The 23,143-nt window shown below is 41.2% G+C and overlaps 1 protein-coding gene and 1 pseudogene across 1 annotated transcript in view, besides 4 other annotated features; both read left to right on the top strand.

The window, feature by feature from the left end:
* Positions 1–20,319, top strand: part of TM4SF4 (transmembrane 4 L six family member 4) — a 28,698-nt gene extending 8,379 nt beyond the window's left edge. Inside the window, exons 3-5 of the mRNA NM_004617.4 lie at positions 4,544–4,680; positions 15,647–15,836; positions 19,601–20,319. Of these exons, the coding sequence (NP_004608.1) occupies positions 4,544–4,680; positions 15,647–15,836; positions 19,601–19,618 (345 nt within the window). The 3' untranslated portion in view covers positions 19,619–20,319. The remainder of the gene's footprint in view (positions 1–4,543; positions 4,681–15,646; positions 15,837–19,600) is intronic.
* Positions 4,610–4,659: a silencer, noted in NCBI's record as "silent region_14803". NCBI's record gives its function as "represses an Ori minimal core promoter by ATAC-STARR-seq in GM12878 lymphoblastoid cells {active_cell/tissue: GM12878}" and the evidence as "EXISTENCE:reporter gene assay evidence [ECO:0000049][PMID:35858748]".
* Positions 6,287–6,581: a silencer, noted in NCBI's record as "tiled region #15242; K562 Repressive non-DNase unmatched - State 13:Ctcf". NCBI's record gives its function as "represses a minimal TATA promoter and a strong SV40 promoter by Sharpr-MPRA in K562 cells {active_cell/tissue: K562}" and the evidence as "EXISTENCE:reporter gene assay evidence [ECO:0000049][PMID:27701403]".
* Positions 11,220–11,369: a silencer, noted in NCBI's record as "silent region_14804". NCBI's record gives its function as "represses an Ori minimal core promoter by ATAC-STARR-seq in GM12878 lymphoblastoid cells {active_cell/tissue: GM12878}" and the evidence as "EXISTENCE:reporter gene assay evidence [ECO:0000049][PMID:35858748]".
* Positions 11,585–12,928, top strand: EEF1A1P45 (eukaryotic translation elongation factor 1 alpha 1 pseudogene 45; annotated as a pseudogene).
* Positions 18,647–18,941: a silencer, noted in NCBI's record as "tiled region #15061; K562 Repressive non-DNase unmatched - State 22:ReprW". NCBI's record gives its function as "represses a minimal TATA promoter and a strong SV40 promoter by Sharpr-MPRA in K562 cells {active_cell/tissue: K562}" and the evidence as "EXISTENCE:reporter gene assay evidence [ECO:0000049][PMID:27701403]".
* Positions 20,320–23,143: the final 2,824 nt, after the last annotated feature.

The raw sequence follows: 23,143 nt of genomic DNA on the forward strand, positions 1-23,143 counted from the left end.
GTGACAACCTGGACTTTCATGAAGACAACTCAATCTGCCATATGTCAACAAATGTTTCCAGACCACTCAGAACCTATTTCTGAAAGGGTGGTAGGTAGCATTAGAAGAAACTGCCCTAAGTGTAAGATTTCTCTTGCTCTCGTCCTAGAGTTATACTAGCTGTATCTAACTGAACAGAAATTTGGTTGGAGCATGGAGGCGGCTAAGAAACAGAAAACCAGCCATATAAACTCTCAGTAAGAATTGTAGGCCAGGTATGATGGCTCAGTAATCCCAGTACTGTAATCCCAGTATTTTGGGAGGCCAAGGAAGGAGGATGGCTTGAGACCAGGAGTTCGAGACCAGCCTGGGCAACACAGTGAGACCCCATCTCTATTTAAAATCAACTATAACAAAAAAAAGAATTGTAGCAGTATTTTCCAAAGTGTTTTCTTACAAGGAGTCACAGGAAAAAAAAAAAAACCAAAAACTTATAGGATCCAATAAGAATGGAAAACTGCAAGTACCATGTATACTGAACTGCAGGTATAAGGCAAATCTGAACATAAAAGCATGTCTTATTTTCCCATAAAGAAACTTCAAAAAAGCTCCTTAGCCAACAATAATATATAAACTTTCAGTGACATAAACATATTTTAAATCATGTTATATAAAATATGAAATAATTTTAATATATTGATTGTGAACTGACATTTCTCCCATTTATTTATATATTACTATTTTGAGACAGAGTCTCACTCTGTCGCCCATACTGGAGTGCAGCGGTGTGATCTCGGCTCGCTGCAACCCGTGCGTCCCATGCTGAAGCAATTCTCCCACCTCAGCCTCCTGAGTAGCTGGGACTACAGGTGCACACTACCATGCCTGGCTAATTTTTGTAGCTTTTGTAGAGATGAGGTTTTGCCATGTTGCCCAGGCTGGGCTTGAACTCCTGGGCGCAAGTGATATGCCCACCTCAGCCTCCCACAGTGCTGGGATTACAGGCTTGAGCCACTGTGCCGGGCCCGTTTATTTTAAAATAAATAAATATTCATGTTTCTTTTAATCAATGTCTTTGCTACTACTAAAGACACACTTTGAGCCATCAAAAGACTCCCACAGCACATCTTCTTTTCCGTTTGAGTCTGAATACAACATTTATGTGTCTATGCATGATGTTGTCAGGGAAAATTTCACCCTTAGTCACAAATATCAATTCTCATAAGACAAAGACAATGTCCAAACATTCCTCCTACAGGTACATATTAATGATCTCCACAATTATAAACAAGAAGTGTGCTTATTTTAGAATGCAATTGTTTATTTATTTATTTATTTTATTTTTTTGAGATGGACTCTCGCTCTGTCACCCAGGCTGGAGTGTAGTGGTGCCATCTTGGCTCACTGCAACCTCTGCCTCTCGGGCTCAAGCGATTCTCCTGCCTCAGCCTCTTGAGTAACTGGGATTACAGGCATGGGCCACCACACCCCGCTAATTTTTTTTTTTTTTTTTTGGAGGCGGAGTCTCGTTCTGTTGCCCAGGCTGGAGTGCAGTAGCGTGATCTCAGCTCACTGCCACCTCCGCCTCCCGGGTTCAAGCAATTCTTCTGCCTTGGCCTCCCGAGTAACTGGGAAAATAGGCATGCACCACTGTGCCTGGCTAATTTTTATATATTTTTAATAGAGATGGGGTTTCACCATATTGGCCAGGCTGGTCTGGAACTCCTGACCTCGTGATCCACCAGCCTCGGCCCCGCAAAGTGCTGGGATTACAGTCGTGAGCCACCACGCTAGGCCTAGAATACCCTTTAAACTATAACAAGGCCTAGAATACCTTGTTAACTATAATATCCAGAACTAGGAACTATGGGTTCAACCTTTTTATAATAATTAATAAATATGTGTTAAGAAAAAATTTTTAACACAATTCTGTCATCTAACAATGATTGAGTTGTTTCTGACTGATGTCTTCTCTAGGCAGTACTTGGTTGTTCAAAATAAAGTGTTTGAGGAAATACATTATTACCTGATAGATGAAATAAGGACTCAACTCTAAGGTAATTCCTTCATTTCTGAGGAATAATGTGAGAGTGAATGATTTTCCTTATATTCCAGCATATGTAGTAGATTTCCTTCTCAGAAGTTTACACAAATTCATGTTTCATAAGTACTATATTTTTAGAAGTGCAGCAGGAATGAAACTTAGTTATGTAATCCAGCAATTCTCAAACTTATTCAACCTTACATCCTTTGGAAAAGAGATTGCCTGTTCTAACACGAGAAATTTACCAAAATGTTCACTTACTTCTGACCTAGGTTAAAGTCATGAATGTTCTGGATGCTGAGAGTGGATTTAGATACCCTAAACATAAACAATAAGGGGAAAAATCTAAACAATTAGTAATATGAAACCTTAGTCATTGAAAACATGCAACAAGTCATTATCCAGTGCCTTTGATAAGCTAGGAAGAAGGAAAACTGTAAAACTATGCTAAGTGTGGAAAAATGCCCTATCTTCAAATAACTTATTGTCTGTGACTTCAAGGAACTTGTGCTCTATTTGGAGAAGACAGCCATAAAAAGCTAAGCATTAGTTGGGCATGGTGGTGCATGCCTGTAGTCCTAGCTCCTTAGGAGACTGAGGTGGGAGGATCACTTGAGCCCAGGAAGTTGAGGCTGCAGTGAACCACGATTGCACCACTGCACTCAGCCTGGGTGACAGGGCAAGACCCTGTCTAAAAACAAAAACAAAAACAAAAACAAAAAAACCTATGCATTATTGTATTAGAGGCATTGTGCTGTGATAGAAATTTGTGCAATCTAGAGTACAGGGGTTGGAAGAGATGAAGAATGAAGGGTCAGTTCTACAAGGAGAGTCAGACAAAGCACATGAATAGAGCTTGGTATTAAAACGTTGCATCAATCAGATGAGTTGGCAAAAGAGTTAAATTTTCTATTAAAAAGACTTTTTTTAAAAGTTGCATCCAAAATACATTGATATATGATATGAAAATGAATCCCAGCTAAAGTAGAACTCCATTATTACATAGATTCCAATCACCCAGGCACGATCAGGTCCTCTTCACCTTCAAACCTTACCCCATCCCAGATATGTACTATGATAATATTGTTAATAACATGAAAGGGGAAAGGGAAAATAGCCGACATTTAGCTTAAGCTGCCACGTCTAATTTTCACAACAGATATTTAAGGTGGGCTCTATCATGCCCATTTTAAGATGATAAAACTAAGGCTCTGAGGACACATTCATTATGCAAAGTCATTACACAGAGAAGACTAGCAAAGCTGAGATATGAGCCTGGGTCTGGGTCTGCTGACTTTAAACCCTGTGCTTCGTCATCAAAGCAACAGAGGTGATCGTTTTCTGCCTCTTCTTCCAAAATTTTAAATGTTTTCATTCTACTTTCTAGTTACTGTCTAGAATGGATATTGCAAAAGTTCTTAACATCCTGGGCCTACATTTTTTCATCCGTAAGAGGGAGTTAACCTAGCTGGGTTCCAGGATTGCTTCTGCCTTTTGCAGTCAATAATTCTATTTTGATTTTATAATTGAAAACAAAATATGGTAGTCTAATCTGTTTTTCATTAATCTCCATCATAGAAAAATATTTAAAAGAATGGAATTTTTTGATTGTTTAACTTAAAGAAGAGAAAATGCTCCGAGGGTGGAAGGGGTGAGAGATGTCAAGGCAATCTTCAGATATTTTAAAGACTGATGCCAAATGGAAGACAGGTTAGACTTGATCTTTTTGGCCTCGAGGAACATAATGAGGGCCAATGAGGAGGGGTTCTAAACTTTTACTCTTTCTCATAAGTAGAACCTGCCTGTCACATGAGACATCACAGTGACTGGCCTTAGCAGGATAATTTGACCAGAAAACTTAAGATTACTGCCAGGCCAGGTGCGGTGACTCACATCTGTAATCCCAGCACTTTGGGAGGCCAAGGCAGGCGAATCAACTGAGGTCAATAGTTCAAGACCAGCCTAGCCAACATGGTGAAACCCTGTCTCTACTAAAAATACAAAAAAGTAGCCAGGCATGGTGGCGCACGCCTGTAACCCCAGCTACTCAGGAGGCTGAGGCAGGAGAATCCCCTGAACCTGGGAAGTGAAGGTTGCAGTGAGCTGAGATCACACCATTGCACTCCAGACTGAGCGACAAGGGTGAAACTCCGTCTCAAAAAAAAAGATTACGCCAATCCTAAGGTTCTTTGATTCTATAATAGATTGGCTTTATATATCAGCCCTGGGGAGGAGAGTTTATCTTTAACAAGGTTAAAAGGCCATGGCTCAAAGGTAACAGAACCAACACCTCTGTCATCAATGAAAAGGTGAAAAAGAAATGGAAATGGGAGTGAAGAAGGGAAAAGAAGACACCAAAATTCATTCTAGAAGACCCCACAGGCCCCATCTACTATAAAGACTAGCTCCTACTCCATAACTTCTTGTAGTCACCATGTTCAACAGCAGGTGGATTAGGTTTGTTGAGTGTATCCTCTGGACCACCTGGAGAATGTGACTGTCTCTCTTCCTCTCTTTCAGATGTTCACCTCCACGATATTTGCTGTGGTTGGATTCTTGGGAGCTGGATACTCGTTTATCATCTCAGCCATTTCAATCAACAAGGGTCCTAAATGCCTCATGGCCAATAGTACATGGGGCTACCCCTTCCACGACGGGTAAGGCCACACCCTGCAATGCCCACCTGTCACCACAAGGGGCATGGGCAGATAAATTGCCCAAGGGGAGACTGCACACAATGCCATGTCTTCATCCTTATGCAAGCCTCAGGCTCGGTGCTCCTTTGAGGCAGAGATGGAGTTGTGGAATACAGCAAAGTTGCATAGGCTCTCACCTCTAATTGCTCCTTTGACAGACCCCAGGAGAAATAACTAAAAGAGGACGGATGCCTCCTTTGGCCTGAGGGAAGGAAGAGATTTGTTGTGTCATCACTTGCACCCAAATATTTATTAGCAGCAACACAAGGCAACTAATAATATTAATAAACAGAGTAATAGTTTTCATTACAAATCTCATAATAGAAAACAAGAATAATTAACCACTAACTGGGCCCAAGGGCTTTCATTAATACCCCAAATTGCCTATAATTAAACAATCATTTAAGTGCAAATGTACAGAAAATGACATTGAAATCATTGTAGGTTTCTCATGTTAATGTTAATAGACTCATTAAAATAACATTTCATGTTTTCATGGTACTTTGTAGATTGTAAAGACCTTTATCCCACAAATTTATAATTTAATCTTCATAGTAACCTCAAGAGGTAATTACTCTGTGCCAAGGCAGGCTTAATAAGCTTAACTAGCTTCAAAGTCACATTGTTAGTTGAGGACAGTGCCAGGGCTCAAACTCAGGACTTCTGACTTCAAGTCTTAGCCTTTCATAGTACACATCCTCCTGTCCTGCACTGACCAGGACGGCACTGTTCAGTCCAGTAGCCAGCAGCCATATGGAGCTATTTAAACTCAAATTCATTTATAGAAATAAAGTTAAAAATTCAGTTCCTTAATCACACTAGCCATATTTCAAGTACCCAGTAGCCATATAGGGTTTGTAGCTACTGTATTGAATAGCACAGATCTAGAACATTTCCATCATGGTAAATGGATCTGTTAGGCAAAGCTGCACTAGACTTTAACCTCCAAGGGGGCTTGGAGCATTTTTGTTTTGTTCACCGTCTCAGCCCCTCTGCCTGACAGTGACTGGCACATCCCACAGAGTCAGGAAATATAACTATAGGGTCTTTCTGCACATGAAGAATGGATTTGTGCCTAAAAAAAATCTGTAGAACACCAATATATTAACTCAAACCTCTACGTATTCATTTACTGTGAGATCCTAAAGAATCTTAAGAACAGGCTTCAGGCTGGGGAAGTGAAGGGGCCTAGTTCTCTGTGATACATGGTCTTGGTTTGTTCACAGACGTCCCACATGAAATATCCCCATCTTTCTCATAGTTAAGCAATACAAGGTCTCTAACATCCTCATACCTTGTGCAGCGGTTTCCAAATACATTTAGTTTACTGTGTGAAAAGCCCTCTTATCATGCAGAGAGGACTGTTGGGGCTACACTACCATGGGGTTGGCTTGCTTGAGCATCAAACTCAGATCCCAGCAGGCTGAGCCCCCACAACCCGCCCCCATTGAGGCTCTTCCCCTGACAGCTCACTCTCTCCACCTAGGGGTGTGTGTGTGAAGCTACAGATTATGTCTTTCTTCAAGGAGCCCTCTATTAATTCCAGCAACATCAGTGCCACAGTAAACATATTTTTCTATTTTTTCTGTTATGTGAATAATACTACCCTAGGAATTTAAAGTCAATTGAAATAAATCTATGTCCAAAACAAAGGAGGGAGAAAGAAAACAAAACAGATGCCAAAAAACACTCCAAAGCCATACAATGGCCTCACATGTTCTGACTGCAGGAACTAACACCCTCCCCTCACACACGCACGCCCTACTTGGGATGGGATGGGATCAATGCCCAAGATCAGGAGTGACAGCTGGCCTGTGGGTCACCACACGAAATGCCAAACTGAGGGAAGGACAGGAAACGACTTTTGGAAGTTCTTCATATTAGTACTTCTGGAGAAGCAAGTTTTCATTCTCATTGCAGCCATTTATTGTGTATTGCTCTGTAATAGATGCTTTCAAATATGTTATTTTATCTACCCCTCACAACAGCAACTAACCAGCATCAAGAACAGGTACCAGATTATAAAGATTTGATAATAAAAACAGAATAGGGTAAACCTTGCAGGCAAGCGGGAACATTTCAGAATTCTCTATTTATCTCCTGTTCACTGTACAGCTTTGATAATTACCTGAAGGGAGAATGATTTGAACACCGAGACATCTGTACAGCTGCTTCAAACTATAATGTGATAAAAAATTACTGTACAGGGATGTATTACAAAACCGTATATATCACAGTTTCCAGATGATTTATAGGCTATTTAAGAATGATTTTGACTACTTATGTTTTAATTTAATCCCTTGTAAGATGTAAGACTGCTCTTTGTGCAAGGTATAAAATATGCCATGATGGTTACAGGAAGGGCATTCAGGGGATGGGCCCAGGTTTCACTGCACCCTCTTTGCCATCTGGCAAACCTTCAGCAGCATTCTGTTGTCTCCTCAAATCCTGTTTCCTCCCTTCTGAGACAAGAGCTCACATTCCTTTTTGATGTTATCTACTACTGCCAGCTCCAAATCTTCCCTCTAACTGCAGAAGTTCACCTTGAATTTCTTATGGCAATAATTGAAACTTCTATTGCTTGGTGTTTTCAGTTAACAAAGTGCTGTCACCTATATTGTTTCATTTGATCCTCACAAAAAGTTTATGAGATTGTTTAACTCTCCTTCAGAGGCAGGACAGCCAAGGCCCAGAGAGGACAAGTGGCTTGCCAAGAGGAATACAGTTTCTTAGTGGCAGAAGCTCAAATCCAAGTTTTCTCACTCCAAGTCACAGTGCTTTTTCTAGAACACAGTTTATATTGACTCATATTGTCTGCTTTTTGCCTAGATTCCCTGTTGGCAAAACTCATGGGATTCTACCTCCTACTCCTTTTACTATACAGTACTATACTGGTATCTGATAGTTAAAAAGGGTGTGTGGACTCTTCTTATCCACATAAGCATATAGTAACTGTTGTTATAGCTGCAAACCTAACACTCATACACAGCTGCTCAGAGAGTAGAAAGGATCAGTCACTTGTATGAGCCAAAAACAAGAAAACTCAAGACAGTTGTCATTTGTCCCTTATTACCAAAGGGCAGCCATGGTAGCAACTGCTTCTTCTTCTTGTTCTTGTTCTTCTTCCTCTTCCCTCCCCTCTTTTTCTTCTTTTCCTTCTCTTTTTTCTTTCTCTCCTCTTCCTCCTTTTCCTTCTTTTTCTTCCCAGTGAGTAAGTGCTAAGTGTTTTTATGTGCATTATCTCACCTAATCTTCCTCATAAATCTGAGAAGAATTTTTATCCCTGAAGGAGAAAAATGAAGCTCAAGAAGGTTAATTTTCCCAGGGCTCCATGGCTAGTAATTAGTAAAAGGATTTTTTTTTTTAATTAGCTGGGAGTGTTGGCTCATGCCTGTAATCTCAGCACTTTGGGATGCTGAGGTGGAAGGATTGCTTGAGCCCAGGAGTTCAAGACCAGCTTGGGCAACATAGGGAGAACTCCCTGCTCCAGCGCCCCTCTACAAAAAAAAAAAATTAAAAAATTAGCTGGGCATGGTTGTGCATGCCTGCAGTCCCAGCTACTCCAGGTGCCTGATGTGGGAGGATCGTTTGGGCCCAGGAGGTCAAGGCTGCAGTAAGCCATAATCATGCCACTGCATTCTAGCCTGGGCAACAGAGCCAGACCCTGTCTCAAACAAAAAACAAAACAAAACAAAACAAAACAAAAATATATATATATACACACACACACATTTATATATCTACATATGCACATATCTACTTTTATATATGTGTACATATATATACACACACACATATATATATGTAGTCAGTATCTTATTTTGTGCTGAAGCCTATCTCAAACATGGAACAAAAAACGAATAGACATGGTTCCTTTCCTATCAGCATATGGGTTAGGGTGAACACATGGAACAGATCCTCATAATGCAGAAAGTGTGAGATGGAGAAGGAGTGCGGGGGGAAACTTCTTCGAGAAGGTGACATGGGCTGATTTTGGAGGATGAGCAGAAGTTTGCCTTCCAGTGAGGAAGGAGAAGCACATTTCAGGCATGAAAAGGCTGACATGCTCAGGGAACCTCAGAGCACTGTGTGGCAGAAGCTCAGTGTGAATGAGGAGAGATTTGCAGAAGGGGCCGCCACACGATGTGGTGAGACTGAGAGGCAGCCAGACCTTCAGGACATCAGGGCACAGCAGGGGACTTCAAGCAAGACATGGCATGGCTACTTTGGACTTTTAGAGGCATGATGGTTCTAGTGATGTGGAAAGTGAATAGGAGGATTCAGGAACTAAAGAGAGATAAAAGCTGGCATCATAATCCAGATAAGATGATGAACATCACCCAGGCAGCAGAATTGGGGCTCAAAAAAGACAAATTTCAGAGAATGTTTGAGATGGAGTCATCAGGTTTAGGTGTGAGGAGAAAAGAGGAAGGTAATCAAGGTGGACTCTGAGATTTCGAACTTAGTGCACAAAATCCAGGGCTCTGCAATGCCATAGCATTTAGCACTGTTTTCCTCAGAAATGTTTTTTGGTGATAATATTAAGGGAGGGAGCAAAAGTAGTTAACTCATTCTGTCCTGAGAACCATATTAAAGAACACCCTAGAAGGAAAAAGAAACCTGGGCATTTTGAAATATACCCTCTTGGTTTCCTTTGAAGTAGAACCTCCTCCCATCCAAGGTCTTCCTCCCTGAGACAATTGGCCATCCCTCCCTTGACCCTGAGCTGCTGAAAGGAAAGCAGCCTGCACAGGGTGTGGGGACAGCCATAGGAGGGGAAGCAGAGGATGAGCCAGGAGTGGTCAGTAGTCAGGGAGGGACGGGGCTATGCATGGCACTCCTGGGCCAGGCTGCAACTCTTTACCTCCTTAGAAAGAGTCAAGGGCAAGGAGAGCACCCTCACATCTGTGGTTCAGACACCGAGACACTGAACTGAACACAGTTAAATGTTCTGCCTTGACATTCAGCTAAGACCATCTGGATTTGCACTTCAGAAATTACTTATTAGCAAAGAACATCATAAGCTGCTTGTAAACATATTCCCAAGAGCTGAAAGCCACCTTAATAGGATGAGATTGGATTTGCACCATGTAATCTTAGCTTTCATGAACCAGAAACAGTTCACAAATGTTAGGAGCCAGTTTTGCCCTTGGCTGACTTAGGGTCTAGCCACACCTCTGCCATATACCATTTATCTCTCAGGCTTCATCTGTGAAATGAATGGGAGTAACAGCAACATCCACCTCACAGGTTCAGGTAAGAGTAAATAACACAAGGTACATAAAGCACTCAGCACAGTTCCTACCACATACTTGCTTGATTCAGCCTTATTATTCATTTTTATGAATATAAAGTATTATGGTAAATGGAATTTATTTTTATGCATTAAAACTTTAAAAATGTTATGCTTTTATAATGATTCTGTGACTTAATTTCAACCAGGCATAAATAAGGCTCAAAAAAAACCTCTTTATTGTGATATAAGTAACCCTTGATTCACATACTATTATAGATGTATAAATCAAATGTCATAAATAAATCATTTCAAATATGCTAAGGAAATAACTACTCCAACAAAGGGCATTTGTGTAATGGGTCAGAGCACTGGATTTGGAGTCAGACAGACCTAAGTTCAAACCCAGGCACTTCCATTTACTAGCCTCACCTTCTTAATCTGTAAAATGGGTATATGTTCATTCATTCAGTGAGTGTTTACTGAAGGTTACTCTATGCCAAGCACTGTTCAAATAAAGTAGCATCTCCTTGGAGCATTAGGAAAGATGATGGAAAGCAGCTAGCCCAGAGCCTGGCACTAGAGGACCCAGGAAATGAGAGCTGCTGCTATTTATGAAGCACTGCCTGTGCTGGAACTGGGGACAGAGACAGTGGCACATGGTCTTTGCCCTTGGAAGTTTATCGTCCTGAAGAGAGGACAAACAAATGGACAGGTGATGGCAGCGCAGGGTCCAGGGGCTCTGTACAACAGGGGCGGAAACACAGAGCGCTGGGGAGCACAGAAGGAAACCAAACCCAGGCTGAGGGCAGAAGCATTGTGGAGCTTCTCCCAGAGGAGGTGGCATCTGAATTCACCAGACAGAGCGCGCCAGCAAAGCATTCGTATTCAGGCCCCCTGGTTTCTGTCTTCAGCTGAGAAGAGAGTTCTGTGAAATTCGTGCCTTTCTGCTCCCACTTTGATGGGATTACTACAGCTCAGGTGGAAATACCTGCATAATAATTGGATGCTTTAAAATGTCAGTTAAGTGCATCTAAACTGCTTCTGCTCTCCTTGCTTCACTGCCAGGTCCATGAAAAACTGAGGACCCCTCTCTCCCTGGGTTTGGGGAGTTGGACACAGTGATCAAACTGAACGTGAACACAGGCTTTTTTGCCAGACTCTCAAAGACTGCCAGAACCAGAGAGTTTGAAGGGAGAGAAGAAGGGCCTGAGTGTGGCTATGTGGTGGTTTGTGAGGGGTGAGGCTGCAGCAGGAGTGGAACTCATGATTTCTCCAGGCAACCAAATTCAATCCTTGCTTCTACGTTCGCCGTAAACGTTTCACAAATCCTACCACCAGGAGGTGCTGTCATGCCACTGCTGTGCAGGCTCTCCAAAGAGGCCCGAAACTCAGGATTGCCAATTCTTTCACCTCAGGATCTTTTCTTCATAAAGTGTGCCTGGAAAATATTGCATCTTTATAACCTTTTATAATTACCAAGTTTTAAAATTGTAAAGATAGAAAGGACTAAATGGAAAAATGCAGAACAGAAAGATGGGTGTTTCATGTTGGAAAAAAAAAGGCATTTTCACAACGGGTTTGCCACCAAAACACAGGTGTCATGAAAACCACCCCTAAATCAAAACCAAAATGGGAAAGAAAAGGATTCATATCAATATCGTCGTTATTGGACACGTAGATTCAGGTAAGTCCACTGCTACTTGCCAACTGATCGACAAACATGATATAAATCACCAAAGAACCATCGATGAATTTGAGAAGGAGGCTGCTAAGAAGGGAAAGAGCTCTTTCAGGTATGCTTGGGTCTTGAATAAATGGTAAGATGAGTGTGAGTGTGACACATCACCCTGTGGAAGTTTGAGACCAGCAAGTACTGCATGAGTCATTGATGCTCAGGACAGAGACTTTATCAGAAACATGATTACAGGCACATCTCAGTCTGACTGTGCTATCCTGATTGTTGCTGTTGGTGTTGGTGAATCTGAAGCCGATATCTCCATGGGCAGACCCATGAACATGCCCTTCGTGCTTACACACTGGGGATGAAACAACCAATTGTTGGTGTTAACAAAATGGATTCCACAGAGCCCCTCTACAGCCAGAAGAGACATGAGAAAATCATTAAGAAAGTCAGCTCTTACATTAAGAAAATTGGCTACAACCCCAGCACAGCAGCAGCTGTACCAATTTCCAGTTGGAATGGTGACAATATGCTAGAGCCAAGTAGTAACATGCCTTGGTTCAAGGGATGTAAAGTCACCCATGAAGATGGCAATGCCAATGGAACCATGCTGCTTGAAGGTCTGGACTGTGTCCTACCACCAACTCATCCAACCGACAAGCCCTTGCATCTGCCCCTCCAGATGTCTACAAAGTTGGTGGCATTGGTCCCTATGTGCTAAGTGGAAACTGGTGTTCTCAAACCCAGCATGGTGGTCACCTTTGCTCCAGTCAACGTTACAACTAAAGTCTGTTGAAATGCACCATGTTGCAAGCTCTTCCTGGGGAAAATGTGGGCTTCAGTGTTAAGAACGCATCTGTCAAAGATTTTTGTAATGGCAACATTGCTGGTAACAGCAAAAATGACCCACCAATGGGAGCAGCTGGCTTCACTGCTGAAGTGTTTATCTTGCACCACCCAGGCCAAATCAGTGCTAGCTACACCCCTCTGCTGCTAGTCACACAGGTCACATTGCTTCCAAGTTTGCTGAGCTGAAGGAAAAGATCGATCATCGTTCTAGTAAGAAGCAGGCCTTAAATTCTCGAAATCCGGTGATGCTGCCATCATCAATGTGGTTCCTGGGAAGCCCATGTGTGTTGAGAGCTCCTCTGACTATCCTCCTCTGGGTCATGTTGCTGTTTGTGATATGAGACAGACAGTCGCTCTGGGTGTCATCAAAGCCAGGAACAAGAAGGTTGCTGACCAGAAGGCTTGGCAAGGTCACCAAGTCTGCCCAGAAAGCTCAGAAGGCTAAGTGAATATTGTTCCTAACACCTGCCACTACAGTCTTAATCAGTGGTAGAAGAATGACCTCAGAACTGTTTGTCTCATTTGGCCGTTGAAGTTTAATAGTAAAAGACTGGTTAATGTTAACAATTAAAACCTTCAGAAGGAAAGGAGAATGTTTTGTTGACCATTTGGGATTTTTTTTTTTCATGCAGCAGTTTTAAGTTACTAGGTTGTTTGTTTGTTTTTCGAGATGGGGTCTCACTCTGTCACCCAGGCTGGAGTGCAGTGGCACAACCTCAGCTTACTGCACACTTTGCCTCATGGGCTCAAGCGATTCTCCCACCTCAGCCTCCCAAGTAGGTGGGATTATAGGTGCGTGTCCCCACACCTGGCTAGGTTATTAGTTTCTAAAATCGGTACTTTTTAATGGAAACAACTTGACCAAAAATCTGCCACAGAATTTTGAGACCCTCTATAGCAAAGTTTAATGAGAAAAAAAAAGTACTGAAAAGAACAATCGGCCAGATGCCGTGGCTCACAACTGTAATCCCAACACTTTGGGCGGATCACCCGAGGTCGGGAGTTCGAGACCAGCCTGACCAACATGGAGAAACCCCGCCTCTACCAAAAATACAAAATTAGCCGGATGTGGTGGCATGTGTCTGTAATCCCAGCTACTCGGGAAACTGAAGCAGGAGAACCGCTTGAACCCGGGAGGCACAGGTTGCAGTGAGCCGAGATTGTGCCATTGCACTCCAGCCTGGGCAACAAGAGCGAAACTCCGTCTCAAAAAAATAAAAAAGGACAATCTCACACAACTATACAGAAGGTATGTCATCTCAGTGAATTCTCACAATTGTGATGTGGTTCTTAGTCTGTTATATAGATTAAAAAAAAAAAAAACTGATGCTGGCTGGGCGTGGTGACTCACACCTGTAATCACCGCACTTTGGGAAGCCAAGGTGGGAGGACTGACCTCAGGAGTTTGAGACCAGCCTGGGCAGTATAGTGAGACCTCCGTGTCTATTTTTTTAAAAAAAGAGAAAAAGAAACTGATGTTAAAGGAAGTGAGTAACTTGCATGAGGAATACATAGCTAGTAAGGGGAATGCTTGGGTTCAAACCCGGGTACATCTGAATCCAAAATACCAGCTCTTTCCATTAGACTAGACTGCTTAGATTAAGTAAAATAATGACAATACTAGCCTTTATTGAGGACTTACTATATGCTAAGCACTGATCTAAGCACTTTACTCATACTAACTCACATAGTCCTGACAATAACCCTAAGATATGATAATGTAACTCCCATTTTATAGGTAAGTACACAAGGCACACAGCTAGCAAGCTGCTAGTACCTGTACTCTTATGGAAAGATGAATCAATGCTATAAACAATGTTTTATTTTGAAATCAAAAGCAAAATGTTCATTCCTTCCTTTTCTGTGAAGGTTATCATAAAGATCTAAAAACAATAACATCAACATTAATTCAGTAGATAGATAAAGAGTTTTTCATTAAGGCTCTGAAAGGATGGAGGAAACAAAGAGACCAATTTGGGGCTCTAAGAATGTAAAGAGTCATAATATTCCACAAGATTTTACCACTTTACTCATTTTTGTCTCAAAATCGTACACTTCACATTTATCCTTCAAGGCACAATGCCCTTTATTTTTATTTTTTGAGATGGAGTTTCGTTCTTGTTGCCCAGGCTGGAGTGCAATGGCATGATCTTGGCTCACTGCAACCTCCACCTCCCGGGTTCAAGCAATTCTCCAGCCTTAGTCTCCTGAGTAGCTGGGATTACAGGTGCCCACCAGCATGCCCAGCTAATTTTTGTATTTTTAGAAGAGACAGGGTTTTGCCATGTTGGCCAGGCTGGTCTCGAACTCCTGACTTCAGGTGATCTGCCCACTTTGGCCTCCCAAAGTGCTGGGATTACAGGTGTGAGTCACCGCGCCCGGCCACAATGCCCTTTATATTGCAATAAACTCTTTATATAATAAAATATAAATATATTGCAGTTTCTCCTAATTCACAGCTTATGTAAAACATGTATTAAGGCAACAGACTATTTGTTCCTTTTGAAGAAAATTAATTACATCTTTGTGTGTGAGAGATTCCTACATGTTAACAAAAATATAGTGAGTCAAATTCACAATTTGGTTAAAATTAGGCCTTGAAATCAGGCTCTTCCCTTTAGCTATATGACACATTTGTACTTTACATGGCTTCAGATGGCCACTACACTTGACAAGTCATCTGTCAAAAGTCAAAACGGTCTCTAACAATGATAGCTAGGATAAAGCTGTGAACATTTGTGAAATTCTACTGCTGGAGTGTCTCTATTTTCCTGTCCCCATCATAGATGGTGAATTTGCCTGTCTTTTTGGACAGCTAATGAAAATTGTTCTGCCAGTTCTGTGACCTGGGAGAAAGTAACTTAGCCTCTCTGTGCCTCTGCTTCCTTATTTGTGAAACCGAAAAAGAGAACCCAGAGGTTTCTTTGGGGAATAAATGAGTGAATATGTGCGAAGTGATTAGAACAGGGTCTGGCACACAGGGTGTACTCAATAAAAACTGTACATTTTGTGGTATTTAAATTGTTAGTACAGAGTATTTTCTCGTGAAGCTAGTTTTGGGTGGAAAGTAGTGCATGAGAAACATTGTTATGGTAACTTTCTAGTGGAGGGAATTGCACACTTTTTACAAATGTTTCCTTTGTCCCCTATATCACCAACAGGGATTATCTCAATGATGAGGCCTTATGGAACAAGTGCCGAGAGCCTCTCAATGTGGTTCCCTGGAATCTGACCCTCTTCTCCATCCTGCTGGTCGTAGGAGGAATCCAGATGGTTCTCTGCGCCATCCAGGTGGTCAATGGCCTCCTGGGGACCCTCTGTGGGGACTGCCAGTGTTGTGGCTGCTGTGGGGTAAGTTCAGGCTTTTGCTGTTTCTTCTCAGCATGAGGGAGGCCAGGTCAGGCCACTAGCATAAGGGAGGCCAGGTCAGGCCACCAGCACTGAAGGAATGAGGGGGTAAGTGTGGCCACCTGCAGAAAACCAGCCCAGGTTGGGAAGCCCAGTCAGCCCTGTCTGTCAGCTCATGGAGACAGACACATTGCATTACTGGAACCCAGAGCATGTTAAAACACCCAGGCTGAAGTTGGCCATAATTTTCAGCCTCACATCCAGTTGACCGTAGTTCTAGAGACAAAGGACTCTGTCTATATATAAACATTTACAATGATGTTTATATGAAGATCCACCTGAAGTGAGCATTTGTCATATGGGTACAGTGTCAGCGATAGTACATCACGGTCTGGGCTGGCATGTTCTCACTTCCTCAGATGAACAGAACATACCAATGCAAAACCTATATTTGATATGATTTCTGATACAGAAAAAGAGGTAGTTCTTATATGGGAAGAAAAAAGGGAAATCACTCAGGCTTTAGTCTCTAAATAATATTGTAAAATACCAACAACAAATTACTAAAAATAAAAACAGACTTGCAGACAGTAAGACAGTCTGATTATTTCAACTAATACCCAAATCAAATTAGGCAATTATTCACACACATACACAAAGTTATTACAAGCACAGATTGATGTATGAAGAAAAAAATAAAACTTGAGGGTTCCCTAACTGGGGGATTATGTAAATATATGTAAATAAAGGTCTATTCACTTAATATTATGGTAAAACTTTAAAAGACTCAAATTATTTTATTTAAATTTTAAATAAGAAGGTCAAGCATAGTGGCACATGCCTGTAGCTCCAGCTACTCAGGAGACTGAGGCACGAGAATCACTTGAATCTGGGAGGCAGAGGTTGCAGTGAGCCGAGATCTCACCACCGCACTCCAGTCTGTGTGACAGAGTGAGACCCTGTCTCAATAAATAAATAAATAAATACATTTATTTTAAATAAGCATTACATGTATATAACTCAAAAACTAAATATGTACATGTATACACACACAGAGAAATATATAAAGGTATTCAGTTGGAAAGTCTCCCTCCGGCCTTTGTCTTCTATCCAGCCAGTTCCCTCCAATCTCCTCACCTAGGTAAGGTTACCTAATTTCTTATATAGCTTGTCACAGTATCTCTTTTTATTATTTTATTCTCCCTATCTTAAAAGAATGTTTCCCCCAAAATTGCAGTAATATTGAAAATCCTTATGAGATACTGTTATTAGCAGGATACAAAAATTGTACTTAATATACAATTATACAAGGAGGAAAAAACAAAATTCTGTGAATAGAAAAATAAAACAAAAAACTAAAGGAAATCCAACCAAAAGTTAAATAATCATTATTTCTAGGTAAGAAGACTGACTTTTTTCCTTTAATCTAGCCTATAGTATTAAAAAATTTTAATAATTATATATTACTTTTTTCAATGAAAAATATAAATAAGTCCCCCAAATCAGCAGTAAAATGTGTGTATTACAAATAAATTTCACTGTGTATTGCATTTTTATTCTACAAATTTTCAGTTCTACTGTATTGTATTCAAATGTTTTGGTCTTTAAACATACTAGAGAGGAAAAGCAACTACCAACTAGTAATCCACCAAAATTATTTTTATGATAGTGATTGAAAATATTGAGCATTTATATCTTGTAATTCATCCAAAGTGAATGAATGTTTGCTAAATTATATATTGAAGTTTCAGTTTCTACATATTTTAGCTGGGTGGTAAATTTTCTTTGCAAGATTTATTGAAAATATGATTACTTTGGCTGGACATGGTGGCTCATGTCTGTAATCCCAGCACTTTGGGAGGCCAAGGCAAGAAGATCACTTGAACCCAAAAGTTCAAGACCAGCTTTGAACTGGTCTTGACCATGGCAACATGGTGAAACCCCATCTCTACTAAAAATACAAAAAATTAACCAGATGTGGTGGCATGCACCTGTAGTCCCAGCTACTCAGGAGGCTGAGCTGGGAGCATCAGCTGAGCCCACGATGCTGAGGCTGCATGAGCTGAGATCTTGCCCCTGCACTGCACCCTGGATAACAGAACAAGACCTTTCCAAAAAAAAAAAAAAAAGAGAGAGAGAGAAAGAAAGAAAGAAAATATGATTACTCTTTGAATTGTTGATAATACTTTGCTAAATCTGAGAATTATCTCTCAATTTAAAAACACATTCATAGGTGTCAGCACGTTGGTTCCTTTTAGTGAGTTTCATTTATTTGGATACCATATTTTGGAGAACTTAATAACTGAGTCACTCGATAGGTTGAAAGACAGTAGATGGACTCCATGGTTATCAGTGCATGGGCACCAGAGACTCACAGAGGGTGAATGTACACACAAGAATTGTCCATTTTTTTCCCTTCCTTTCTTCCTCCCTCCCTTCATCTCTCCTCTCTGTCTCTCTCCCCACTCCTCCTCCAACTTTCTATTTTGAAAACTTCAAATCTACATAAAGTTGAAGGAATGGTGCAATGAACACCTGTATACTTTCACCCATGTTCACAAAATTCTTAATATTTTCTCACCCTCTCTGTTTCTGGACTCTTGGAAAGTAATTTTTGGACATCACAAAGTTTCACTACTAAATATTTCAGTGCACAAGAGCTGCAGTTTTAAAGTCAGTCTGCTGAAGATTCCTTTCTCTTGGGCAGCTGGCCTCTCATGGGGCTGGTCAGCATTCCTGCCCCAGTAGGACACTGAGGAAAGACTTGGGCTCTCAGCCTAGTTCCACAGCTTACTAGCTGAGTGACTCCAGCAAGCTGACTAACTTCTCATAGTCTCAGTTATTCCAACTGCCTCTTGCCTAACTTATGGAGAGAGTGTAAGATCAACATCTATCCATTCAGGCGGAAAGTATTTACTGAGAGCTTCCTGAGCCTGGCACAGTCCTTAAATGAAGTGGTAGTTGGGAATGTGCCTTAAAATACATGCTATGAGACCTGGTTTGAATGTCAGCTGTGTGGTCTTGGCCCAGTCAGTAGCCCTCAACTGCTCCTTGTCTGTAAAATGTGGCTATTAATACCTACTCCTACGGTTGTCAATGGAGTGCCTAGTACAGGGTGACAAGCATGAATTCATTTGAATCCTTAGAAGGCTCAGTAAATGGCATTGAATGTTATTTACTAACCTTATGAAAGTCAGTGAGGTAGCATAGCTTCAAGTTTCCTTTAACACAATCTCTGGGTTCTGCCTCCCTGGTTCAAATCCCAGCTCTCCTACTTGTTAGTGGTGGCTTTCCACATAGCACTTGGTCTCTCAGCACCTCTTACCAAATTATTTTTTTAAATAAATGATGCATATTGTATACAATGTATTCTCCTCAGGTGATGGGTGCACTGCAGTTTCAGAATTCATCAGTACCTAATTCATCATCCACAGAACCAACAACCACTTGTACCCCAAAAGCTATTGAAATTTAAAAAAATTAAAAACAAAATAAAACAAAAATAAATAAATAAAATGTAACTTCCTTGAGGACTAAATAAATAAATACATGATGCAAAACAAAATGAAGCTTCCATTCCTATAACCTCAACACAGGTGGGTGCCAGAGTAAAGCCCTGAAACAAAGCCAGAAAAGTATAGGAAACATTCAATAGGCAACCATTAAGAGCCAGGAGGAAGGCAGGTGATGGGGATGGGAAGGAGGGGAAAAGCAAAAATTTACATAAATCATGACATCATAGTTAATTCACCTTTTCTACCTTCTAGGGAGATGGACCCGTTTAAACCTCCGAGATGAGCTGCTCAGACTCTACAGCATGACGACTACAATTTCTTTTCATAAAACTTCTTCTCTTCTTGGAATTATTAATTCCTATCTGCTTCCTAGCTGATAAAGCTTAGAAAAGGCAGTTATTCCTTCTTTCCAACCAGCTTTGCTCGAGTTAGAATTTTGTTATTTTCAAATAAAAAATAGTTTGGCCACTTAACAAATTTGATTTATAAATCTTTCAAATTAGTTCCTTTTTAGAATTTACCAACAGGTTCAAAGCATACTTTTCATGATTTTTTTATTACAAATGTAAAATGTATAAAGTCACATGTACTGCCATACTACTTCTTTGTATATAAAGATGTTTATATCTTTGGAAGTTTTACATAAATCAAAGGAAGAAAGCACATTTAAAATGAGAAACTAAGACCAATTTCTGTTTTTAAGAGGAAAAAGAATGATTGATGTATCCTAAGTATTGTTATTTGTTGTCTTTTTTTGCTGCCTTGCTTGAGTTGCTTGTGACTGATCTTTTGAGGCTGTCATCATGGCTAGGGTTCTTTTATGTATGTTAAATTAAAACCTGAATTCAGAGGTAACGTAACAAAGATTGTGTGTGTTTTAGGAGGGGGGACAAAACGTTGAATGAATAACAACTCATCTTTTCTACAAATGCTTCCTTTGATCAAACAAAAAAAAGTTTTTAAAAAATTGATTTAAGTAATAATTTTGTCAGCCTATTGCCCAGGGTTAAGGTAATAAGTATTAGTATTCTATGTGTCTTATTAAGACTAACTGGCTTTATGAGTCAGGCACTAACAGGGCATCAGATCCATTCTGTTGATTTGTGTTCAAACCCCAACTTCACCACAAACCAGCTTAGGGGTCCCGGGACAGTTATTTTCAAAGTCTCAGTTTCCCCATCTGTAAAAGGACACCTGAGAGACAACCAGTCATACTGGAAATTTTGAAGTTGCCAAGGGTGAAGCAAAGGCCTGTGTGCTGCCAACGTGACTGTGTGCAATAAGAAGGGTCTCAGGGAAGTCCAAGCCAGAAAGTCTCCCTTCTGCCCTTGCCAAGCTAATAGGCTGCACCACGTAGGTCAGGCACACTGAAAACTGGGTTTGTCAAAGCCATCAATAAAGTAATTAATGATCACCTACTGTGTGCTGGCCCCCGCGGGGCTAGGCACTGAAGATACAAAGAGTTACACGCTGTAGTTTTGCCCTCACTACAATGAGAACTCTATGAGATCAGGGATTGTGTCTGACATCTGAAACTTAATAGGCAGAGGCAAGAAAGGCAGATACACTGAAGATCTCGTTGCGGGAACTATACACACACACACACACACACACTCACACACACACACACGGTGTTTCGATTCAGTTTAGACCATTTGTTTTCAAACATGGCTGATCATCAAAATTACCTAGGAAATGTTCTGAAATTACAGATTTCTGAGCTACAGCCTAGACTCACTGCATTTGCAAATCGGGGCATGAGACATGGAAGTCTGTTTTTTTTGTCAGTCTTTTCTTTTCTTTTTTTTTTTTTTGTTGTTATTGTTTGTTTGTTTTGAGACAGAGTCTCGCTGTCTGTCACCCAGGCTGGCGTGCAGTGGCGCAGCCATGTTGGCTCACTGTGACCTCCGCCTCCTGGGCTCAAGAGATTCTCCTGCCTCAGCCTCCTGAGTAGCTGGGATTACAGGCACCCACCACCACGCCTGGCTAATTTTTGTATTTTTAGTAGAGACAGGGTTTCATCACATTGGTCAGGCTGATCTCAAACTCCAGACCTCAGGTGGTCTGCCCGCCTCAGCCTCCCAAAGTGCTGAGATTACAGGCATGAGCCACCGCACCCTGCCAGTCATTTCATTTTTTAAAGCACAACAGGTGATGTCGAAAACCAGCTACTCTGAGCAACCATTGCCTTAGAACATCACCTGCAGGCACAAGGATGAAGACTGAGTCAGATCCCATTACTGCCCACCAGGAGCTCACATATCACAGATTAATACAAGGTGGTACATGCTAAATACTAAACGGTGACCCAGGTAATGATGTTCCGGGATAATGGTGTCCCGGAAGATCAGAGATGTCGGGCTATTAGGACTGATTCACTTGCCTGAGTTCTTTGATGAGGGAATTTGAATGTGGCTAAGAGGCATCAATTCTTTATCCAGGGGTTTGCAGGGATTCATTATTTTAGATAAAAAGAAATTGTAGTCATCATGAAATCTGCTCTCATTATTTTATAGATGAAGAACTGAAATAACCTTTGACGAGTTTTCACAAAAGGCCATTTTTCAAAACCAGTTACCATAAAATTACAGGAAATTGCTTACCATGGATAAGAAGACTTAAAAGGAAGAGACAGGAAACAAAGAGTAAAGATGAATGCGCCTCTCCCTTAGAGACCTCCAGATGCACACACACACCTCAAGGATGGTCTTCAGACTGTCCAGAGACTTCTGTTATGGGAGTTGCCATCTTCATTTTGCTTAATGGAGTACATTTCTTTATTTTTCTATGCTTTGGATTACAAGTTACTTGAAGCAAGAAAAGAATCTGATTCAAGTCTAGGTACTAGGAGTACCTAACCTAGCACATATTCTGATTCAAGTCTAGGTACTAGGAGTACCTAACCTAGCACATATTCGGCAATTCATAAATTTGTTGTGTGAATGGAGGTGCCCAGAGCTCTTAATTTTCTTTCTCCTGCACTCTCTAAGTGAAGTAGTGTCCTTTGCCCTGAAATAAACTGAAGAAGATTTCAAAAATGAATAGACAAGGCCAGGTGCAGTGGCTCACACCTGTAATCCCAGCACTTTGGGAGGCCAAAGCAGGAGGATCACTTGAGCCCAGAGTTCAAGACCAGCCTAAGCAACATAGTAAGACCTTGTCTCTACAAAAAAACAGAAAAATTAGCCAAGCGTGGTGACACATGACTCTAGTCCCAACTACTTGGAGGCTGAGGCAGGAGGATTCACTGAGCATGGCAGGTGGAGGCCGTGATCATGCCACTGCACTCCAGCCTGAGTGACAGGCTAAAAAAAAAAACCTAAAAAAGTAATTTAAGGCTGGGCGCAGTGGCTCATGCCTGTAATCCCAACGCTTTGGGAGGCCGAGGTGGGCAGATCACTTGAGGTCAGGAGTTCGAGACCAGCCTGGCCAACATGGTGATATCCCTTCTATACCAAAAATACAAAAATTAGCCGGATGTGGTGGTGGGTGTCTGTAATCCCAGCTATTCAGGAGGCTGAGGCAGGAAAATTGCTTGAACCTGGAAGGCGGAGGTTGCAGTGAGCTAAGATCATGCCACTGCACTCCAGCCTGGGTGACAGAATGAGACTCCATCTAAAAAAAAATAATAATAACAATAATTTTAAAAAAGAGTTGACAAAACAAGTAGGAAAGTGGATGTCTATGTGAAAATTAAACATGAGGCCGGAGTGGTCTCAGTACACAGATCCATGAGTATAAAAACTAAAATTATATTTTCTATAACCACATTTGCTTTCTAGCTCTGAATGCCAT

This window comes from Homo sapiens, chromosome 3 (genome assembly GCF_000001405.40).
Source record: "Homo sapiens chromosome 3, GRCh38.p14 Primary Assembly".
NCBI classification, from domain to species: domain Eukaryota; kingdom Metazoa; phylum Chordata; class Mammalia; order Primates; family Hominidae; genus Homo; species Homo sapiens.